This window comes from Homo sapiens, chromosome 13, assembly GCF_000001405.40.
Source record: "Homo sapiens chromosome 13, GRCh38.p14 Primary Assembly".
NCBI classification, from domain to species: domain Eukaryota; kingdom Metazoa; phylum Chordata; class Mammalia; order Primates; family Hominidae; genus Homo; species Homo sapiens.
Window position 1 is genome coordinate 72,572,811 of NC_000013.11, and position 21,381 is coordinate 72,594,191.

General features: G+C 37.9%; 1 non-coding gene across 1 annotated transcript, besides 1 other annotated feature; it reads left to right on the top strand.

Annotated features, from left to right (window-relative positions):
• Nucleotides 2,106-3,080: an enhancer, noted in NCBI's record as "VISTA enhancer hs135". NCBI's record gives its function as "enhancer in: eye[3/4]" and the evidence as "EXISTENCE:transgenic organism evidence [ECO:0001131][PMID:17130149]".
• LOC124900344 (small nucleolar RNA SNORA9) lies at nucleotides 13,870-14,000 on the top strand. Its single transcript, XR_007063955.1, has one exon. It is a non-coding gene; the product is annotated as a small nucleolar RNA SNORA9 (small nucleolar RNA).
• Nucleotides 14,001-21,381: the final 7,381 nt, after the last annotated feature.

Below are 21,381 nucleotides of genomic sequence, written 5' to 3' on the forward strand. Positions count from 1 at the left end.
AACCTTTCAGAAACAGTATGGCCAGCTCAGGCTCTAAAAATACAATCCACTGAGGGCCTGTCTTCCCCAGAAGAGAGAAGAGAGTGCCTATGTTCCCTCTTCGTCTACAAAACTCTTCTCCATTAAACAACTACTTTCAAAACCACCAGTTGGAGGACAGCATTACCTGGTCCTGTGGACTGAATGTTTGTCCTCCCAAAATTCATATGTTGAAACCCCAATCCCCATCGTCAAGGTATTTCGAGGCAGGGTCTTCAGTAGGTAATTAGGTAACAAGGGTAATCCCTCATGATGGGAGTGGTGCTCTTTATTGTTTATTTTTCTTTTTTTGAGATGGAGTCTCACTCTGTTGCCCAGGTTGGAGTGCAGTGGTGCAATCTCGGCTCACTGCAACCTCCACTTCCCAGGTTCAAGTGATTCTCCTGCCTCAGCCTCCTGAGTAGCTGGGATTACAGGTGCATACCACCACACCCAGCTGATTTTTGTATTTTTAGTAGACATGGGGTTTCACCATGTTGGCCAGGCTGGTCTCAAACTCCTGACCTCAGGTGATCCACCCACCCAGGCCTCCCAAAGGGCTGGGATTATAGGCATGAGCCACTGCACCCAGCCTTAAAAGTGCTCTTAAAAGATAACTTCTGCATGCTCTCTCTCTCTCTCTGTCACCCTCTCTCTATTTTTTTCTCTGCCATGTGAGGCACAGCAAGAAGAGAGCTGTCTATAAGCCAGGAAGGTAGTCCTCAGCAAAACCCAACCATGCTGGCACTCTGATCTCGGTTCCATCCTCCAGAACTGTGAGAAATAAATGTTAGTTGCCTATGGCACTCAGTTGATAATATTCTTGTTACAGCACCCTAAACTAAGATATTTGGTTTGACACACCAGTGATGGGTTAATTTTTCACTTACCTATAGTATCCCTCACTAACAGCACTTTTTCAAATATTAGCTAAAAACTCCCTCCTTGCAGCTGCCAGACCTATGGGACATCTGGTGTTCATGGGACTGAAGGCTGAGAATCAGTTTCCCTTGTCCCTCACTAGGCTTAAGGCTGGGCTTGCTCCATGTTGTCCCAAGACTGCAACTGCAATTGCTGTACCTTGTAGCAATTCCTCTGACTTAACTCTGCCTTCCTGCTGTGTAGCTAGCAGAACTGAACAGTTCCTGGCACGACTCTTGCCACATAAGAGGGCTGGGTACATCTCTGTAGTGTTTGCTTTTTATGCCGATCCCACTAAAATCTTACATTTTCACAGCTCTTTCTTTGTCCCCTCTTCTAGTGACTCACTTCACAATGCCAGGATTTTTACTAGCCCAGATGGGGCAGGGGCTTGCGGGGGGTGTTTCACTGCCTTGGAGGCAGCAGCAGAGAGAATAGCTCAGAAAGTCCTGCATGTGCAAGTTCTACCATCTTACTTCTTCTGGCTCTTAAACTTGTAAGGTACAATACTTACCAGCCTACTTTAAATAAGGACAAGCATCTATAATGCCAGCACTTTGGGAGGCCGAGGCAGGCAGATTGCTGCTTGAGCCCAGGAGTTTGAGACCAGCCTGGGCAACATAGCAAAACCCCATCTCTACCACAAAATACAAAAAAGTACCCAGGTGTGGTGATGCACACCTGTAGTCCCAGCTACTAGGAAGGCTGAGGTAGGAGAATCACCTGAGCGTGAGAGGTCAAGGCTACAGTGAGCCATGATCGCACCACTGTGCTTCAGCCTGGGTGACAGAATGAGACCCTGTCTCAAAAAATAATAATAAATAAATAAATAAGGCTATCTTTCCCATGATATCTGTGGAGTACCAGGTCCACTAGGCTTTCTCCTGCAGGCCCCTAAGCTTTTCTTGCTCCTGAAATACATTTTTATGTGATCCCCAGAGCACCCCATCACCAACTTCCCTGCTTACCTAATCTAAGATAGCAGGCACATTTTGTAGGCCTCATAGCTCTGGGGTACCCAAAATAATTTATCTTCTCATCTTCTTCTGGTACCCACTTAGTTATCAGATTGCATGTTTTTACATAGGTATTTTAATCAATTAATTGTCCAAAATGTCCTTGCTGACAAAAAGAAAATGTCCCTACCATAGGGGAAAAATTCATTAAAAATTTTAAAGGACCGCAGTGCTTTTATAACACGGTTATATAACAGCTTATAAGCTCTTTGGAAATTTACACACACACACACACACACACACACACACACACAGAGAGAGAGAGAGAGAGAACCATAACAATGCCAGTGACTAGAATCTATAATCAGCATTGATAATCTCTTAAACTTTTTATTTGTTGTATATTAAATTCATGAAAGAATATTACAGTGGCACTGCATCTCATGATTTTAACATATGAGGCATTCGCTTACATATCTTGCTTTTCAGAATTTCTGATTAAATGTTTTAATTTAAATGGAACATAATATTTAATGTAATATCCAGCCGAAAGTGTCCCTGAAGCTTCAATTGCAAACAATCATAATAAAGAATGTTCTTGTTTAATCTACAAAATAAGTACATTTGATTTTAATTACTTGGATAATGACCAAGCAAGTACATCAGGCACATCCCTTCCAAGAGATAATGAAAGACACAGAGGAGCAAACAATATTCCTGCGAACAGACCATCACATTCTGACTCTGAGGATGACTCCACTAATGAAAATCTGTCTTTGCAAATGACTCATCTTCTGAAGACTGTTCTGAAGATGTTGGAAATCAGAATGATGCATGTGAAAATGAAATTAATCAATATGAAGATGGGGAACAGCAGTCTATCACAGAAGGGCTGTTTGATAATAATGAAATTGAGGAAACAGTCAGTGGTAGAGAAACAAATGAAAGCACAGGAAATGTCAATGATAATAATGAATAAGTAACTAATTCTTGAAATTCAAGAGGAAGAGTTAACAAACAAAGACAAATCATCATACAGACAAATGACAAAGATGTGAAACTACATTTGCTTTTAAGTTTATTCCAAGTTTCTAAGGATATTAAAACACTAATATGGTAGTAAATGTAATAGGAAGAGAGGTCTAAAATTTTCAGAACTTTGTATCAACTGGGAAGCTACAAGAGTGTCCAGTTTGGCTGAAGCAACAGAGTGTAAGAGGCAGCAGTGGGAGATAAGACTAGAAAGTTCTACTGGATTTCCAGGAGGCATTTGAAATGTCAGTATGAATCCTCTTCTTTAATTGCCCTTGCTTGTTTTTAGATTACATTTGTTCCAAACCCACAGTCCTACCCTAGTACACTTTAGCTTCTCACAACAGTATGAGAGTTCTCACTCTGTCTTCAGCTTCAGTTCTAAATGCAGTCTTTAAAATGTAGATTTTCAAAATCTCAATTGCATGGTGTTTATCAATTTCATTTCCCTCATAAGTTCTATTATTTGTAACACCAATGGAAAATTCACACAACCATGTAATGGTACCTGGAGAAGTTATAGTTTCCCTGCACATCTGAAAGGCAGATGCCTTTGGACTGTTTTGAATGCTGTCTACAAGATTCTTACATAGTGTATAAATAATCTGTTTTCTATGCCATAAATTCCCTTTTCTCACTACAAAATTCTCCACTTCAAAAGAATCACTTGAAACCAAGGCTGTTTAGCCTAGTAAGCTATGATTTAACTCAGCCATGCCCTCTAAATCTTAGGTACACTGACCAACAGTTCCTATTTGCTCATACTATCACAATTGCATATAGCACAGACTTTAGTTTTTTGTTCATTTCTTGTGTTTTTGTTTTTGTTCTCCAAACCTAACACATTACATTTGGATGTCATTTCTTCTTGTCCTATGACTTCTTTCCTCAGGCTAGACTTCACTCAACCTAAATCCCAGCATTTAACACGTAACAAGAGTAAAAAAGTGAAGGGAAATTACACTGGATCCCAATCAACGTAGGAATTGGGATGGAGAAGAGAGAAAAGCAGTAGATAACTACATTATTGTGTGCAAATATGACTTTAATTCAATTATTTTAATTCAATTTTTAAAAATACATTGGAGGAGACATTTAAATTAAGAACTGAAACACTGCAATTGGATTTGGCATTTAGATCATTTGTTAGATTTCCTAGGTCATTTCTGTGAAGTTGTAAAAGCATAAACCAGGTAGCAGTGTGTCCAAGCATGAATGAGAAGTGAAAGAGTAGGGACAGGAAGTACGGCCAGCTCTTTGAAGACATTTCAAGACACAGTAAAGAAGAGAGCTAAAACTGTGATTAGAAGATCAGGTGAGGACTTTCTGCAGAATGAGAAATCATTGAGAGCATATATAAGCTGATGAGAAGAAGCAAACAGATAAAGAAATATTAAAGATACAAGGGAATGGTGAACCAGATGATGGAACACTTCCTCTGTACCAGTACCTGAAAAGGGTACTGGCTATTTAAGATGAATAAGCACTTAGCTGCCTTTAAGAAACTGAGGGGCTAAGAGTCGAGAAAGATGACATCTGTCCAAGGTGTTACAAGAGCATAGAGGGCATTAGCACTGTCAAGAAGAGTCCAAAAAGCTTCACAAAGGAAGTTAGACCAGTAGAGGAAAAAGTGAATGAAAATTGTAGGCAAAGAAAATAGTAAGTGAAGGGTACAGTAGTGTGAATGGATATAATATTTGGGTAATGTATTTAATAGAAAATAATCTATGTGAGTAAATGCTGAAAAAATTGAGTGAAAAGATACATTGGGGCCAGAGAGTAAAAAATTTGTATGTTGTTTTAAAGAGTTTGAAATCAATCTTACATTCATTTATTCTTGAAACATTCTGAGAAGGGGTACTTTCATGTTCCATTTTATTTGGCTTTGTGTAGTTTTAATGCTCACTTTGATCATGCAGTACTTACGTAATAAAATAGTTAAAAGAAAAATAAAATTAAAAGCATCTATCAAATTTCTACCATTTGCCAGGCATTGGGCAAAAAATATAAACAAAATGAAATCTTTACCTTCCAGAAAGAAACAACATGAAAGATAAATAGTCGGGCAGGACCAAGTGACTTGCTTTGGCCAATGAAATGTAGGTGGACATGATATGTGACGTGTGCCCACGTGGAAGCATTTAATTGCTGCTGTTTCATTGTCCAGCCTACTCTTTCCTTGCCATAGAAAACAAGAGAGAGGGCTAGGCACAGTGGCTCACGCCTGTAATCCCAACACTTTGGGAGGCCGAGGTGGGTGGAATACCTGAGGTTGGGAGTTCAAGACCAGCCTGGCCAACATGGTGAAACCCCATCTCTACTAAAAATACAGAAGAATTAGCTGGGCATGGTGGCACGCACCTGTAATCCCAGCTAATCAGTCAGGAGGCTGAGGTAGGAGAATCGCTTGAACTTGGGAGGCAGAGGTTGCAGTGAGCCAAGATTGTGCCACTGCACTCCAGCCTGGGCGACAGGGCAAGACTCTGTCTCCAAAAAAAAAAAAAAGAAAAAGAAAACATGAGAGAACATTTAAATCAGGAAGAGATATAACATTAAAGCAGCCTGGAATGTTAGATCCACACTGGTAGGATGGCACACTTTGTATAATTGAGAAAGAAACTATAGTGGATTAAGCCACAGAGATTTGGGGTTTGTTATTGCAGCGTAACAGTCTATCCTGATGGATACACTGGGGCAACATCTAAGTCTTAGAAGTGATCTGTCCGGTATTTTTGGCATGAAACTTTTTAAATGCTTCATTGGTTTTCACCAGTCATGTAGTTCTCTGGATTTCCGGCAAATAAAAATTGGAAACCAGTGTTTTTTCAATACATAAATCCTCACTTAATTTGTATAGAAGCTTACATTTTTTCCAGACATACAAACTTATAAATATTGCCAGAGTTGATATTATTGTGAGATATGCAGAGAATACTCACTTTAACACCAATGCAGTCCTTAACCTTCCCTCTCACCTTATTTCTCACAACTCTCATCACAAACCTGTGCTCCAGAAAACTAAACAACTGGATTTTCCCACATACGATTCCTTCCTCTATTTGTTAATGTATACTATTTCTTTTGCCTAGGATGCCTTTTACCTATCATCTAATATCCAAAGCCAGTAAATCACTTTTTTCATAAAGTATTTCATTGCTCCTTTACACACACACACACAGACACACACACACACACACACACAGATTTCCCACAGGTAAAGGAAAGAAGAAAGAATGAAATGAAATTTTATCCAATACCTCATTATGTGCCTGGCACTATGTGTGGTATTTGATGTTCATCCTTGAACTCCTTGATCACTTTATCTGCTTCTTTTGTAGTATTTAAAACTCTATACCTAAATATGTTATATATATTTTTGTACCTTAATCACTTTTTTTTTTTGAGACGGAAGTCCCGCTCTGTCACCCAGGCTGGAGTGCCGTGGCACAATCTCCACTCACTGCGACCTCCACCCCACTGGTTCAAGCAATTCCCCTGCCTCAGCCTCCTGAATAGCTGGGATTACAGGCGCATGCCACCACGCCCGGCTAATTTTTTTGTATTTTTAGTAGAGACAGGGTTTCACCATGTTGGCCAGACTGGTCTCGAGCTCCTGACCTCAGGCAATCCGCCCGCCTCGGCCTCCTGAAGTGCTGGGAATACAGATGTGAGCCACCGCACCCGGCCCTTAATCACTTTTAAGAATAAAATCAGTGTCATTTACAGAGCCCAGCATGAGAGCTGGCATATAGTAGACTCTCAATAACTTTTTTTAATGAATGAACTTCAAATATCTTTTTAAGGTCTTCTGTATATATTTATATGTAAGCTGGTTCTGAAAGGGAAGAAATCTGATTAGAAATTAATATAATCCTTTGCCTCTGCTATTATGCTTGATTTCCTGGCTTTCAAACTTATTCCAATGCCAGGCTGCAGGATTGATTTAAAACCCCATTGCCCAAAAAGAAGCAGAGGGAGCTGGGACGCAATAGCCAAGGTTCCTTTTCCTTGTAAAGATATTTAGGGATTTTATCTGTTACTCGTATCTCAAGAACATGATTACTTAACTCTCATAAAGTAAGACACACCGTACCAATGACGTATCAGAAGACATGGGTAAAATTGTGGGAGGAAGCCCAGGGAAACAGTCAAACAGCTTTAGGCTTCACGGGACACTAACTAATCATTTTGGCCAGAAAGCCCCTCTCCCCATGGAGCATAATGTCTTCCAAGGAAGATTTGGATGAAACATTTCACCAGATGGATCCAGTACCTACATTAAGACTCTGCCACCCACACCCTTATGTATTCATTTATTTCTCCATGAAATATTTGAGAGTGTGTTGAGGTAGCAGAGCCTGTACTAACAGTGGACTAAAGAATATGTTGTACGACAACTCGCCTCCAATTTTCATAGCTGAGTGTAAACGAAAATGGAGGCTCCTAATTAACGTTATGTCATCAAATAAACATCAAGCAATTTGCAGTGATTTAGATTTCACTTTTACTCTTTTTGACCAATGAACTAGGGTGGCAGGATGGCATTGGCACACTAATCCTGCAAAAACTCAGGGCCTGTTTTGCACTGAGTTACTCACATTTAGAGAAGTAGACATCTGCTTGACCTCAAAACCACATGGCCAAAAAAAAATCTTTAAAGTACACATTGCCTTTAGTCATTGTAGTGTAGTTAAATTGTAAGTTACATAATAAGTACTGCTATTTTATAGATGCCCAAAAGACATGTATTATTTTCCCATTGCAGAGATGAGGAAAGTGAGGCTTAGAGAAGTTGTTACCCAAAGTTATTTGTCTTTTAGTGGGCAGAATTAATATTCAAATCCAGGTCTTCTATATCAAGAGCCCAGGCTCCTTCCAGAGCTACACTTCAGCTTATAGCACACTGCTTCATCATAGGTTTTGTTTAGAAGTCACATACATATATAAATATTCAAGAAACAGGTTGGACTTATAAAGAAGACATACATTTTTTAAAAAGATTTCAAAAACTTAAACTTCTGCTAAGAACATACTGTGATAAAAGAACTCAGGCAAAAAATATTAGTTTTTTTAACCTTAAAAATTAATAAATGTCAGCTTTGTTTTCAGGTATTTATAGCAAAGGTTAAAATAAATGTTGATAAATTAAGACTATTAACACAGACTGGTAATAGCCTAGATAGCAATTCAGTGACATTACCATCTTACACTTTAATGAAATAAAAACTTGAATTGATTGTGTAAGGAAAGACTCTCTTGTTTATTCCAATCTTAATATTATGGTTGATAATTTCACCAGCAGTCCTGATGAAAATATACCTGATATAACAACACCACAGGAAACTAATGATTGTCATGAATCTGCTTGTCGCTGAAGTACAAAGATACAGACTCATCAATCTTTTAAAAATTACTGAAAGCAAACAAGTGATCAGGACAAACAAATTATTATGTTATCATTGTTTCTATGTCTTCCACTTTATTTTTATTACCTTATTTCCTGGGGAAAGTGGCCAAAATATCTTTCAAATATTTGTATTTAATTTTAACCTTTACTATCTTGACTCCACAGAAGATTTTAAAGACTAAATTTCAGAAAATTTTGTCTAATTGTCATTGTGAAATAGCTCTTTAATCTTTTCTTTTCCTCTTCATCAAAAGATAATCAGTAGTCACCTGATAAATAATACCAGTATTCATTTCTTAACGCAATGTTTTGCCTATTTTTAGGACTTCACAACTTGATTGTAAATTATTATTCAAATTGAAAAGTAGGCATACATGGCCATGTTTTTTTAAATACATTTTGTTTTAGAAGTGTGTCTAAAGCTCAAGATATATTTTGTTATTTATTTTATTACTTTACTTTGGTATTCCATAAATGAAATAAAACTCCAGTAAATTATCCAGAAAGTTCTATTGTTCCCATCACCTCTGAAGAAAACAAAACTAAACAAAATCAAACAAAAACATCTTACTGAAAGATAGTTGCAGGCATTTAGCTAACTGCCTCTATTGTAAACTTTTCTTTTTAATTAATGCATAATCCAAATATAACCAATTTGTCATCAGCAGAAACTAAATCTATGCATGTTGCATTCAGATAAATAGGAGAGGCATGTCATCAAGCTATTTTTAAATGAAAATCAGAATATTTTTTATTTTATTACAATATTTATCCTTGTTTTTATAGAAGTCAACATTTTCATAATCTTAGACATGATCATGTTTCCTATCCTCATGGGATAGAAAGCATTGAAATATACATCTTCTCTAGTTCATTCAACCTCGATCACACTGGAACTAACAAGACTTCATAAGTAGAGTTACATAAAACATAGCATGACAGCAGTCATGAGTACAGATCTGGAGGTAGGAGACATAGACTCCTCCCAATATGATATGGCATTTTAGCATTTGGCTTCTAGTGTCAAATAAACAGGTTTGAAATCCAGTCATGGTAGTTAATAGCCAAGTAACGTTAAGTCACTTAACCTCTTTGCCCCTCGGCTTCCTGGTCTGTACAATGGGAATAGTAAGAGCATCAATCTCAAAGTCCTGCTTTGAAGATTAAAGGAGATAAGATGTGTTAGTGATTAGTCCAGGGCTTGGCACATATGAAGCACCCAATACACATTAGTATTGTCGTTTCTAAAGACACAACCCTGTGTGTGGACACAATAAGAATTTCTCTTTTTTTTTTTTTTTTTTTTTTTTTTTGTGACAGGGTCTCACTCTGTCACCCAGGCTAGAGTACAGTGGTGCAATCTCAGCTCACTGCAGCCTCTGCCTCCTGGGTTCAAGCAATTCTCCTGCCTCAGCCTCCCAAGTAGCTGGGATCACAGGTGCCCAACACCATGACTGGCTACTTTTTGTATTTTTAGTAGAGACGGGGTTTCACCATGTTAGCCAGGGTGGTTTTGAACTCCTGACCTCAAGTGATCCACCCACCTCAGTCTCCCAGAGTGCTGGAATTACAGGCATGAGCCACTGTGCCCAGCCCAACACATTAAGAATTTCAAACTGGAGTTAGAGCCATAAGCATTTCCCTAATCTTAGTGAACCTACATAAACAGGACAGTTAAAATTCTGGTTAATTGCAAAACTCAGGAAAGGATTCTAAATTAGTGACTTTTGCAGGATTATTGATAGCCATAATGTTGCTCAAGAATTTGAGCCAAAAATTTAGTATTCTTATTTTGACCTGCAGTTGGATCCTTACTCATTCCCACTACTAGTCAGTTGCCATTTGTCTCTCATTTTAAAATTTGTTGTTTGGTTGTTTTTCCTTGATCAATCCAATGTTCATTTTTGGTATGTGAGATCCTTAATACTTACCTCACTAATTCTCAATCTCAGGGCTGTGAGACCCTGGGAGACTATTAGGTCTCATAAGAGAGTAGAAATTCCATACGCCCACCCATGGTATTGTTCTTTAACTAAATATTATGTCTTCATATATAGGCACTATTTTTCAAATGTACATAGATGCTGCTTTGCTTGATGATGTATACTAGTCCCTCTCTTGACGACAAACTGGTCATGAATTCCTAAGAGTTTTAACTTTAGGAATGTCTCCTATTCTTCTGAACTTAACATGCATAGATTTAGTTTCTGCTCATGACAGATTGGTTATATTTGGATTATGCATTAATAAAAAAGAAAAGTTTACAATAGAGGCAGTTAGCTAAATACCTGCAACTATCTTTCAGTAAGGTATTTTTGTTTAATTTTGTTTAGTTTTGTTTTCTTCAGAGACATTAACTTTAAAGACATTAGAGTAATGTCTCTAGAATCTTTCCTCAGCTTTCCATTCACACTGGCGCTGCCCTGAACCAGACCCTCACGTCCAAACTATACTTTTCCAGTATTCTTCTAACTGGTTCTCCAGACCTCAATATGGCTCAACTCTGGTGTGTTCCACATTGTCACTTGGTTCATGATCTGTAGCCTCAGTTCCTCCTCTCAAAAATGAATTATAAATCTAGTCACTCACAAGATCATTGGGAGGATGTAATGAATGGATTGTGAAAGTGTTTTATATAAAAATCTCTGAAAATATTAATTATTGTTAAGAGCAATTCTGATGTTAGCCAGGAGTGATTTATTTATTCAACGAAAATGTATCAATGTTTATTAGATATGTACAAAATGGTACACAAAGTGCTAGTGACAAAAATATCAATGAAACACAGTCCCTAGCCTTGAAGAAGCACAAAATCAATGTAGTGGAAACCCTTTATAGTGTATGTCCATCCCAGGCACTGGTTTTCCCTGCCCTGAGAACTGTTACTCATTCACAGTGTGGTCCTGTACAGACAGATAGGGATTATGTGTCTCCATTCCCCTGGACAAAGTGGACTGGACTGGGATAGACATCTGAAATCTGATTGACCCACAAGCTGTGCTTTCTCTAGAGAATCTGAAACTGAGATTCTTAGACAGCCAATTAGTCACTGTCAGTGGTTAGAACTGCAAATCCTATAAATTTTGAGTTGTCATGTCTTGGGACAGGGAAGCCAAGAGGCTTCTCAGCAGAACAAGAAGAATCAATCTAACAAGAAAAAAGATACCTGGGTTTCTGGAGATTTTTTATTACTTAGTTTGAAAGGCAGGTGGGATGCTACTATAATAAAGGCATATAGAACAAGCTTTGGAAGCCCAGAGATGGCTGCCAGTAACTGATTTTAGGATTGTTTTACAGAGGAGATGAGATTTGAGTTGGTATCTATTGCCATATCTTCTAGATCATCTGATCTGCTCACCAACAGAGCCTTTCTCCAGCTCCCATGCTTCATTCGTGCCCCACTGTATTAGTCTGTTTTCATACTGCTATAAAGAACTGCCCAAGACGGGGTAATTTATAAAGGAAAGAGGTTTAATTGACTCACAGTTCAGCATGGCTGGGGAGACCTCAGGAAACTTACAATCATAGCAGAAGACAAAGGGGAAGCAAAGCACCTTCTTCACAAGGCAGCAGGAGGGAGAAGTGCCAAGCAAAGGGAAAAGAACCCCTTTTTAAACCATCTGATCTCATGAAAACTCACTCACTATCACGAGAACAGTGTGGGGGAAGCTGCCTCCATGATTCAATTACCCCCACCTGTTCTCTCCCTTGACACACGAGGATTATGGCGATTACAATTCAAGATGAGATTTGGACTGGGACACAAAGCTCAACCATCTCACCCACCCTCTTGAAATGGATTAGTTCCAAGCCCTGGCTCTAGCATGCATTGTCACAACCTACTTAACTGGACCATATCAATTTGAACTCCAATATGCAACACTGTCAAAGGACTTTTGACAAGCAAGAGGACTAGGTCACCAGTTCTGTTTTAATTACTTGCCCAAGATCATACAGTCTTTAAGAGGTTTTGAATCCAAGTATTCTGATTCCAAATATACTTTTCCTGCCATTCTGGGGTACTGCAGAGCTCCTGTGAGGAGGTCAAGTGGCTATGGAGACACAGATTGAAGAATCTTGCAGAGCCCCATTGTCTACAGACTCAAGTCCAAATGCTTTGGCATGGTGTTTAAAATCCTCCACAATCTGGTTTCAATCGGTCATTCCCATCTATCCCCACACATGTCCACCACATCAGACTTTGGACAGCTTCTAAACTTGCCACCCATTTTCATGCCTGCCTTCATATTACTCTCTGAGAGCATGGCCTTTAACCCATTTCATGTATCTGCCAAGCCTTTTCCATCTACACACAGGCCTATTTCATTAGTCTCTCCTCTGCTGACTTTGCACTTTAGTCATTCTTCTAAAATAGTAGTTAACCACAAGTTCTCACTCCCCGTTATATTGGGAACCTGTGCCAAATAAGCATCTCTCCAGAATCACAGTCAAACACATCTACCCAGGAAACAGGTAAAAGCAGAGACAGCCTTATAGAGAAAGAAAGTGGGTGTGATCTGAGGTGTTCCTAAAGACCATGCCAGCAGCAAAATATTTTTCCCATTCAAGTAGCACAGTGCCTGAAATCACACTATTAGGGATTTATTTCTTTGGGTCTAGCATTACTTGGTCTTCAATTAATATGAAAATGTTTAAATAACCTAAATGTACATTAATTTAGAATACATTTCCTCTGTGACAAAAGGAGCTAAGCCATAGATGGAGCAGGTGCATAAGAAATGAAGTATAGAAAAGAGAGGAAAGGTCAAAGAAAGGGGATATTCAGATAGCAAAATAAAAATATACACTTGGCAGGGCTTAAGAATCATGCATTTAATTAATTAGAAAAGCAGCAACGGACATCACTATCACTGCTATCATGAGGATTTCATTTCCTTCTCTCAAAGAATTTGCTGCAATTGAAGGTTGAAACGTCATTTCAATTGATTTTTAATGCATGACAACTTACATTTCCTTTTGCCATCTTGCTGCTGCAATTGAGAAGGCACTGGCAATAGCATTAATAGATGAGAAAGTCCAATATACCCATTTTGTAAAAATAATTTGATAATGTAGTAGAAGTCAATTCAGTTTTTGGTCAGTTAGCACAAGAGATGCTAAATACCCATCACTTAGTTCTTCATGCTTACAAACAGCCTGAGGTTCTTTTTTATAGTGGCAATATGAAATGTGATAAAGCCTATGAGATCAAGGATAGAAAGAAGCTCAACCCCATTTTTGCTTTGCCATTAACCTGGTATAAAATATCAATCACATTGTTTAATCTGTATGTAGGTTTCTTCATCTGCAAAATTGGGGTAATAGTCCTGTTCCCTTCAAACAGCAGAAAGTGAGACATAGCTAGTTCAGTGTTTTAACACACAGAAACTGACCAATTTTATGATAAACAAGGTGAGTAAGATACATTCTTGGTCACAGAATGGCCTCATGACAAAAACTGTTTTATAAACAAATATGCATAATCTTTAATTTTCTAAAAGAAGGCATATCAAAAACAGTTTTAAAAGCAAATACTGGCAAGCCTCCAGCGTGCGTGGGTCTGTGGTGATGTGTGCATTCCTACACTGCTTGCCAGAACAGTATTGAAATAGTGGAGCGTTTGTCCTGCTCCATCCAGAGCAAGGTTATAGAAATTTCAGACAATTGCTTGAAAAAAATGAAAAAAAAGAAAAGAAAAAGAAAAGAAAACACACTTCATGACTTCACATATAAAATAAAGATTTGTTTTCATTTTATCTTTTCTTCTGGAATCAATGCTGGTTTTTTGTTTGGGTTTGATTTGTTTTCTTTAGTCTTTTCTTTTCTTTTTTAGAGACAGGGTCTGTTGCCCAGGCTGGTCTGCATTGATGCCATCATGGCTCATGGTAGCCTCGAATTCCTGGGCTCAAGCAATCCTCCTACCTCAGCCTCCCAAGTAGCTGGGACTACAGGCATGCAGTACCATTCCCAGCTAATGTTTTTTGTTTTTTCAATGGAGACAGGGTCTTTTGCTTGTTGCCCAGGCTGGCCCTGAACTCCTGGTCTCAAGCAATCTTCCTGTCTCAGCCTCAGTTTCAGGTTTTAACAGTTTCAGTTAACAGTATACCAGTAGCAAATTTGTTTCTAGGAACATAAAGATCTGGCCTCATTACAGCAACAATAATAATAACATCAGGAAACAAAACATGTACTTTTCTGGCATGACTCCATTTAATTCACACAGTTAGTTTTACAGGTAAGGAAATGGGGAGTTAAAGAGTTTAAATAACTTGGTCACAGTCACACAGTCAGTGGAATCACAAAACTCAAAGCTACACTAAAGCCTCACTATGTCCAGCTTGGCCACAGTGTTTCTGCCATTGGTGGACTTTCCTTCTGGTCTAGGCTGTTAGAGAACACACATCTCAGCTAGACTCATCATAGCAACTAAGATGCAGGCACCAGAGTACATAATACCAGGCCAACCTGCCTTCCACACCATGTTTTGTGGTGTTCAATTCCTAAGCTGACTATTGGGTCACATTATGAGCATTTTCCTCCAGAAACTACAGTTCTTCATTTTCGGGCACTATTCTTTTGGGATCTATTTCCAGCCTTTGTATTGTAAAAGAATACCCCACTGCAGGCTGTGTGCAAAGGGAACTGTAAAATACATGATTACAGGTCTGAATATCAAACAAACTCCATGTGAAATACACTTTAAAGGAAAAATATGCACATATTAACCACCTATACAGAATTACAACCTTCTTCTCTTACAATGTTGGCTATTATAATTGACCAACTATATTGCAACAGTATTTAAATACTGTAACATTCCAAGAACAATCCCTTTTCTCTATTAGGTCCCTCTAATTTTTTGTTTCTGCCAGCGCATTCCATGTCAGTTAACGACTATACTCTCTACATAATTCTAAAATATTGAACTGTATGCTAAATAAGTAAAATATTTTAAGATAATGTCTTGAGGGAATAGTATTTCATATTATAATTCAATATGCCCTAAGGTAATTATTCAGATATCAATATGCAAAATAGCAGTATGCTGTAGCGCCCTATATTTCTTTTTATTTTGCTTCTTTGTAGCAAGCAATAAATTTAAAGATACAAAAAAAATTAAAGGAAAAGTTTGCAGTCGATTTTATTAACAAGATTGTTTGCCTAGGGAGAGAGAAATTTCACTTGGTCCTTTCCTAATTATTCATGTAAATTAAATTCTACAAGTGAAGAAAATTCATAAAAGTCATACTTACTCATCTGAGAGGGAGATATGGCATATGAATGGGGCCTATAACCTCGGAAGGTGAAATGTAGAAAATATCACAAGCAACTCCCACATTAAGTTAAGTGAACCAAAAAAAAGGGAGATTCTTGGTGTGAAGGAGACTTCAAGGATATCCTCCCTAATCGCCTCTTAATAGTCTCAAATCTCTGACACAGGACACAAATCAAGAATTCAGAGAACATGGAATTACTAGTCACTTACATTTGATATCAAATGTAAGCACTACTAGACACATTTTAAATTTTTAAAACCTTTTAAATATAAGGTTTGAAAAGAAAGCACAAATTGTAACTTAAATTTTTAAGACATCTGTATGTGGTACATGCCAGAAAAAGTTAACTACACATTCTTGTATCTTTTCTGAAATTCTCACTGTTTTTTCCTCCTAAGCCTATGTTAGGATGAAATTAAACAAACTACTACAGACTTGTATGCTAACACTCAATATTCAAAGTGAACCCAAATCATTCAACAAATATTTATTTAATGCCTTTTGTGTGCAAGGCATTGTAGTAGAGAACACAATAGACTTTCTCATTTAGATATAAACAGTTTAATCTTTTCAGAAAGGACCTAATCATTAAATGGAAAGTATGTCCACTATTCATGAGAATCTCAGTTTGCATCTTTTCAGGATAAAGTTAAAAACTGTGGTCTGGGTGCAGTGGCTTACGCCTGTAATCCCAACACTTTAGGAGGTGGGCAGATCACGAGGTTAGGAGATTGAGACCATCTTGGCCAACATGGTGAAACTCCGTCTCTACTAAAAATACAAAAATTAGCCCAGGTGTGGTGGCACGCACCTGTAGTCCCAGCTACTTAGGAGGATGAGACAAAGGAAACACGTGAACCCAGGAGGCAGAGGTTGCAGTGAGCCGAGATCGTGCCACTGCACTCCAGCCTGGGCAACAGAGCAAGACTCTGAAAAAAAAGTGCAAGAAGAATAAAGCAGAACTGGTGAGTAGTTGAATATAGAGAATAAAGATAGAGAAAACATAGATAAAGCCAAAGATAAAGTCAAGGTAAAAACTGAGACAGGGACAGAAATTAGGAGACAGCAATGAGACCAAGATGACAATTTAAGCATCATATATGTTGAGCCTAAAGTAATAGCCAGCTATCCCAGGACAGATGTATGAGAGGTAGCTGGAGGTATTTGACAAGAATTTTAGATCTCTAACAGATTGTCTTAAGATAGATAGTGAGAAAGAAAGTACAGAGGTACTTACAGCTAAAAGACCACCATTGACTCTGACTAGAAGGACAGGACTGGTAGCTTTAAGAACAGATCATCCAAGAAGATATACAAATGTCCAATATGCACATGAAAAGATGCTCATCAGTAATTAATAGGGAAATGCAAATTAAAACCACAATGAGATACCACTTTGTACTCATTAGGATGGCCTTTAGAAATATATATATATATATATATACACATATGTATATATAAAATTAAAAAAAAACAAAAACACAAAACAACAAGTGTAATGGCAAGGATATGGAGAAATTGGAACCCCGTGCAATGCTGGTGGAAATGCAAAATGGTACATCTGCTGTGGAAAACAGTTTGGTGGTGGTTAATCAAAAAGTTAAACATTAAAAATAAATAAATAAATAAAAATTAAAATTAAAAAGTTAAACATATAATTATCATATAAATCCAGCAATTCCACTACAAGGTAAATACCCAAAAGCATTGAAAACAGGGACTTGAAAGATATGTTTACACCAATGTTCATAGCAGCATTATTCACAATAGCAAAAAGGTAGAAAGTACCTGACAGATAAATGGATAAATAAAAGGTGATGTATACACACAATGCAATATTAGTCAGCCACAAAAATGGAATGGAATTCTGATACATGTTAAGACATGAATGAACTCTCCAGGCCTTGTGCTTAGTGAAGTAAACAAGATACAAAATGACAAATATTGTATAATTCCACTTATATGAGGTATTTAAAATAGGCAAATTCATAGAGACAGAAAGAATAGAGGTTGACAGTTGTGGGGAGAGTGGAATGGGAATGATTTTTTAATGAGGACAGAAATTTTTTTTCTGTTTGCTGTGACAAAAAAATTTCTGGAAATGGATAGTGGTGATGGTTGCACAACACTGTGAATGGGCTTAATACCAAGAGAGCTGGGGGCTGCACGATGGAGGAAGAACAGATCAGCAAAGTTGTGAGAGAAGAAACTAGACTACAGGGATCAAGAAGTGGGTATATAAGAATGAACTGGGGTTCACACATGATACTCACTTGAGAAACTGGTATACTCATTGAACCTAACAGTAAAACTACAAATATTGCCCTCAAACACAGCAAACTATAAATAATAAACTTTGTGAATAGAAAATGAGCATGTCAGCTAAACACCCTGCCTGGAGTTGGAGATACAGAGTTAATATTTGTGGTCTCTGCATTTAAGGGTTTACTGTCTGTTGGAGAATCCTGATCCCAGGGCCAATTTTATTTTTTCATTAATAATTAGCATTTATTCAGCACCTACTATATATCAAGTCCAGAGCTAGTCATTAGAGGTGATAGAGGTTACATATAAGGCAGATAACTATCAACAAGGCAAGACTTCAAGAGAACAGTAAGACTCCCTCCTCCCTGCCCAAATGGTATGGTCTGAATGTGTCCCCCCACCACAAAAAAAACTTATATGTTGAAACTTAATTGCCAATGTGATAGTATTATCAAGAGGTGGGGCCTTCAGGAGGTGATTAAGTCATGAGAGCAAAGCCCTTATGAACAGTATTTATGACCTTATAAAAGAGATGTTATGGAGCCGTTTGCCCCTTCTGCTACTGAGGATGCAAGAAAGCACCATCTACAAAGCACAGAGCAGACCCTTACCAGACACCAAACCTGCCAGCACCTTGATCTTGGACTTCCCAGCCTCTAGAACCATGAGCAATAAATTTCTGTTGCTTATAAATTACCCAGCCTAAGGTATTTTGTTATAGCAGCCAAAATGGACTAAGACACCAAGCCTCCTCAAAAGATAATAAAGCCCCCAAATTATTAAGGCTTTTACACCACAATCATAATAAAAACTCAAAATTCAGCTGGGCATGGTAGCTCATACCTGTAATCCCAGCACTTTGGGAGGCTGAGGTGGTACTTTGCTTGAACCCAGGAGTTCAAGACCAGCCTGGGGAACATGGAAAAATCCCATCTCTACAAAATATACGAATATTAGCCAGGTATGGTAGCATGCACCTGTGGTCCCAGCTACTTGGGAGGCTGAGGTGGAAGGATTGCTTGAGCCTGGAAGGTCAAGGCTGCAGTAAGCCACGATTGTGCCTCTGTACTCTAGCCTGGGTGACAGAGTGACACATTGTCTCAATAAAATAGTAATAATAAATAATTTTAAAAATTCAAAATTTACATTCAACTCAAAGAAGTAGCACATCACTTCAAATTTCTCCTGAGTTACAAATGTCAGATATCAGGCTTCCTGAAAAAAAAAAAATTCAGAAGATTCTACTTTTCACTTTTACCCAAGGCTGGCAAAATGATTCAGCAATGTTTAAAGAGTCTAAAAATTAAATGGCTGTGAAATAAACTAAATTAACTATGCTAAATACTTTCTACATAATACCTCCTTTGATCCCTACAACAATCCTATGAGGTAGATGTCTCAAATTTTCAAAATATCAAATTCAACACAATAATAAATAGCAGACAGCTACTAAAACATCTATTTTTCTTTGAAGAGTATTCTGCAGTTTCATGGATCAGAAAGGAGCCATAATCTCAGCTCTCTTGTTTTGGTGTGCCACTAATTTCTTTTGTACTCTACAACCTACTTGTTTTCAAAAATCAAATGATTGATATTTTTATAAAACCTTTCATTTTAGGTAAAAATGTAGGAAAATTATACTTGTTCTTTTTTCCTTTTTTTGCATCCTATGTTTGCAGTATTTCTTGGGAGTTTAGTGATAGACGCTCCCTCTTAAAATTTATTTATTCGTTCAGTAAATTGTTTCTAAATAATTCTTATTTATTTTTTCAAGGAACTGTCATTTCTTGAGCAGCTACTATATGCCAAGCACTGTATTTGATGCTTGGTAAGAGGGAATTGAGGGAGAGAAGAAAAGGCAATAGAAGCAAAAAGAAAAGGCCCAGTCTTTCTTCCCTTAAGGATCTACCAGTCTAGTCAGAAAAATAGGTATGTATAACTAGTTATAATACAATGTGACATGAACTGGAGTACAGAAATGTAAGTGATTATGGGAGCCCAGGGATAAAGTAATTAATCTTCTTTATGAGAAAGGCATACTACTAGATGCTGGAAGCATTAAGGGTGTAAAAGAATATGTCCCTGCTTTCCAAAAGCTTATAACTCTGTAATAAAATTAAATGTATACACAAATAACTGTACTTAAAGTTGGTAGTTCTAAGCACCATTTGAGTGATAAAAAATAGAAGTTCCTAGGATTGCCATCACATCTGGCGAGGAAGAATAATAATGCTGCCCTTTATGGAATACAAGCATCAGGCATCTTGCTGAAATCTTCATATACGTAATTCTCAAATTGTAGGGGGTTAACAATGGTAGCAGATAGTTTCTAATATGGTCGCTTAATTATCTCCACCTTCTGAAACTCATATTCTGGTGTGATTATCCTCTGCCTGAGTGCAGGCAGTATCTGAGACTTTCTTCCAGTCATTAGAATATGGCAGAAGTGGAACGTCATTTCCCTGATCATAACATGTAAGATTGTAATATCGGTCTTGCTAGGAGAGACTTTCCACCTTGCTGGCTTTGAAGAAACAAGAGGCCACAGGGTAAAGGAGCTGATGCTCCTCGTTCAACAGGCGAAAAGGAACTGAATTCTGCCAACAATCATGTGAACTTGGAGACAGATCCTACCCCTGTCAAGCCTTGAGTGAGACCACAGCCCTAGCTGGCCCCTTGATTGTGGCTTTCAGAAGAGTTCCCAAAGCACAAAACTTAGCAAAGCCATGTCTGGACTCCTGACCCGTAGAAGCTGTGACCTAATGGACATTTGTTGTTTTAAGCCATGAAGTTTGTGGTAATATTTCTATACAGCAATAGACATTAATACAGATACTGTTATGCCCTTTTTCTTCTTTTTTTTTTTTTTGAGGTTATGCCCTTTTTCAAATGGAGAAACAAGTTTTGAGAGGTTAAGATCACAAAGAACCAGAAATCAAGCCCAAATCCATGCTGAGACAAACTCTATTATATTGCCTTACAGAAAACTTTATGAAAAGGCAGATATGTGCCCTAAGTCATAAAGTAGGTGGAGACGGGGGAGGCCATTTCTGGCTGATGGAATGTTTTAAGCGAAGGTCAGAGACAAGGGTGTGTGTGCCATGTTTCACAATGAATGTTCCCTTTTACCAGAACAGAATACATCTATGTAACCATGGTTTCCCCAGATTTCCCCAGCCTATGGATAAAAAGGTGTTACTTGACCAATAATAATACAAATATCACTGACTCTTGTCTACATCTGCTGGACGCTAAGCCTCCAGTTCACAGTCAAGTGTTTCTAGAACTACCAAGGGAATGTCCCCTTATGTTTTATATGTGCTTATCTCTGAGAGCCACAGTGTCTTTCTAGTCACTATTGGTACTCCACAGCAAGTGCTAAACAAAAGAAAAGAATGAACATAAAAAACATTTCAAAGAAAGTGTAATTATGAATACAAATAGACTGAATATACAAAAACATGAGAAAAGGAAAAAGATCATTCAGATTTCAAGACTGGTGATG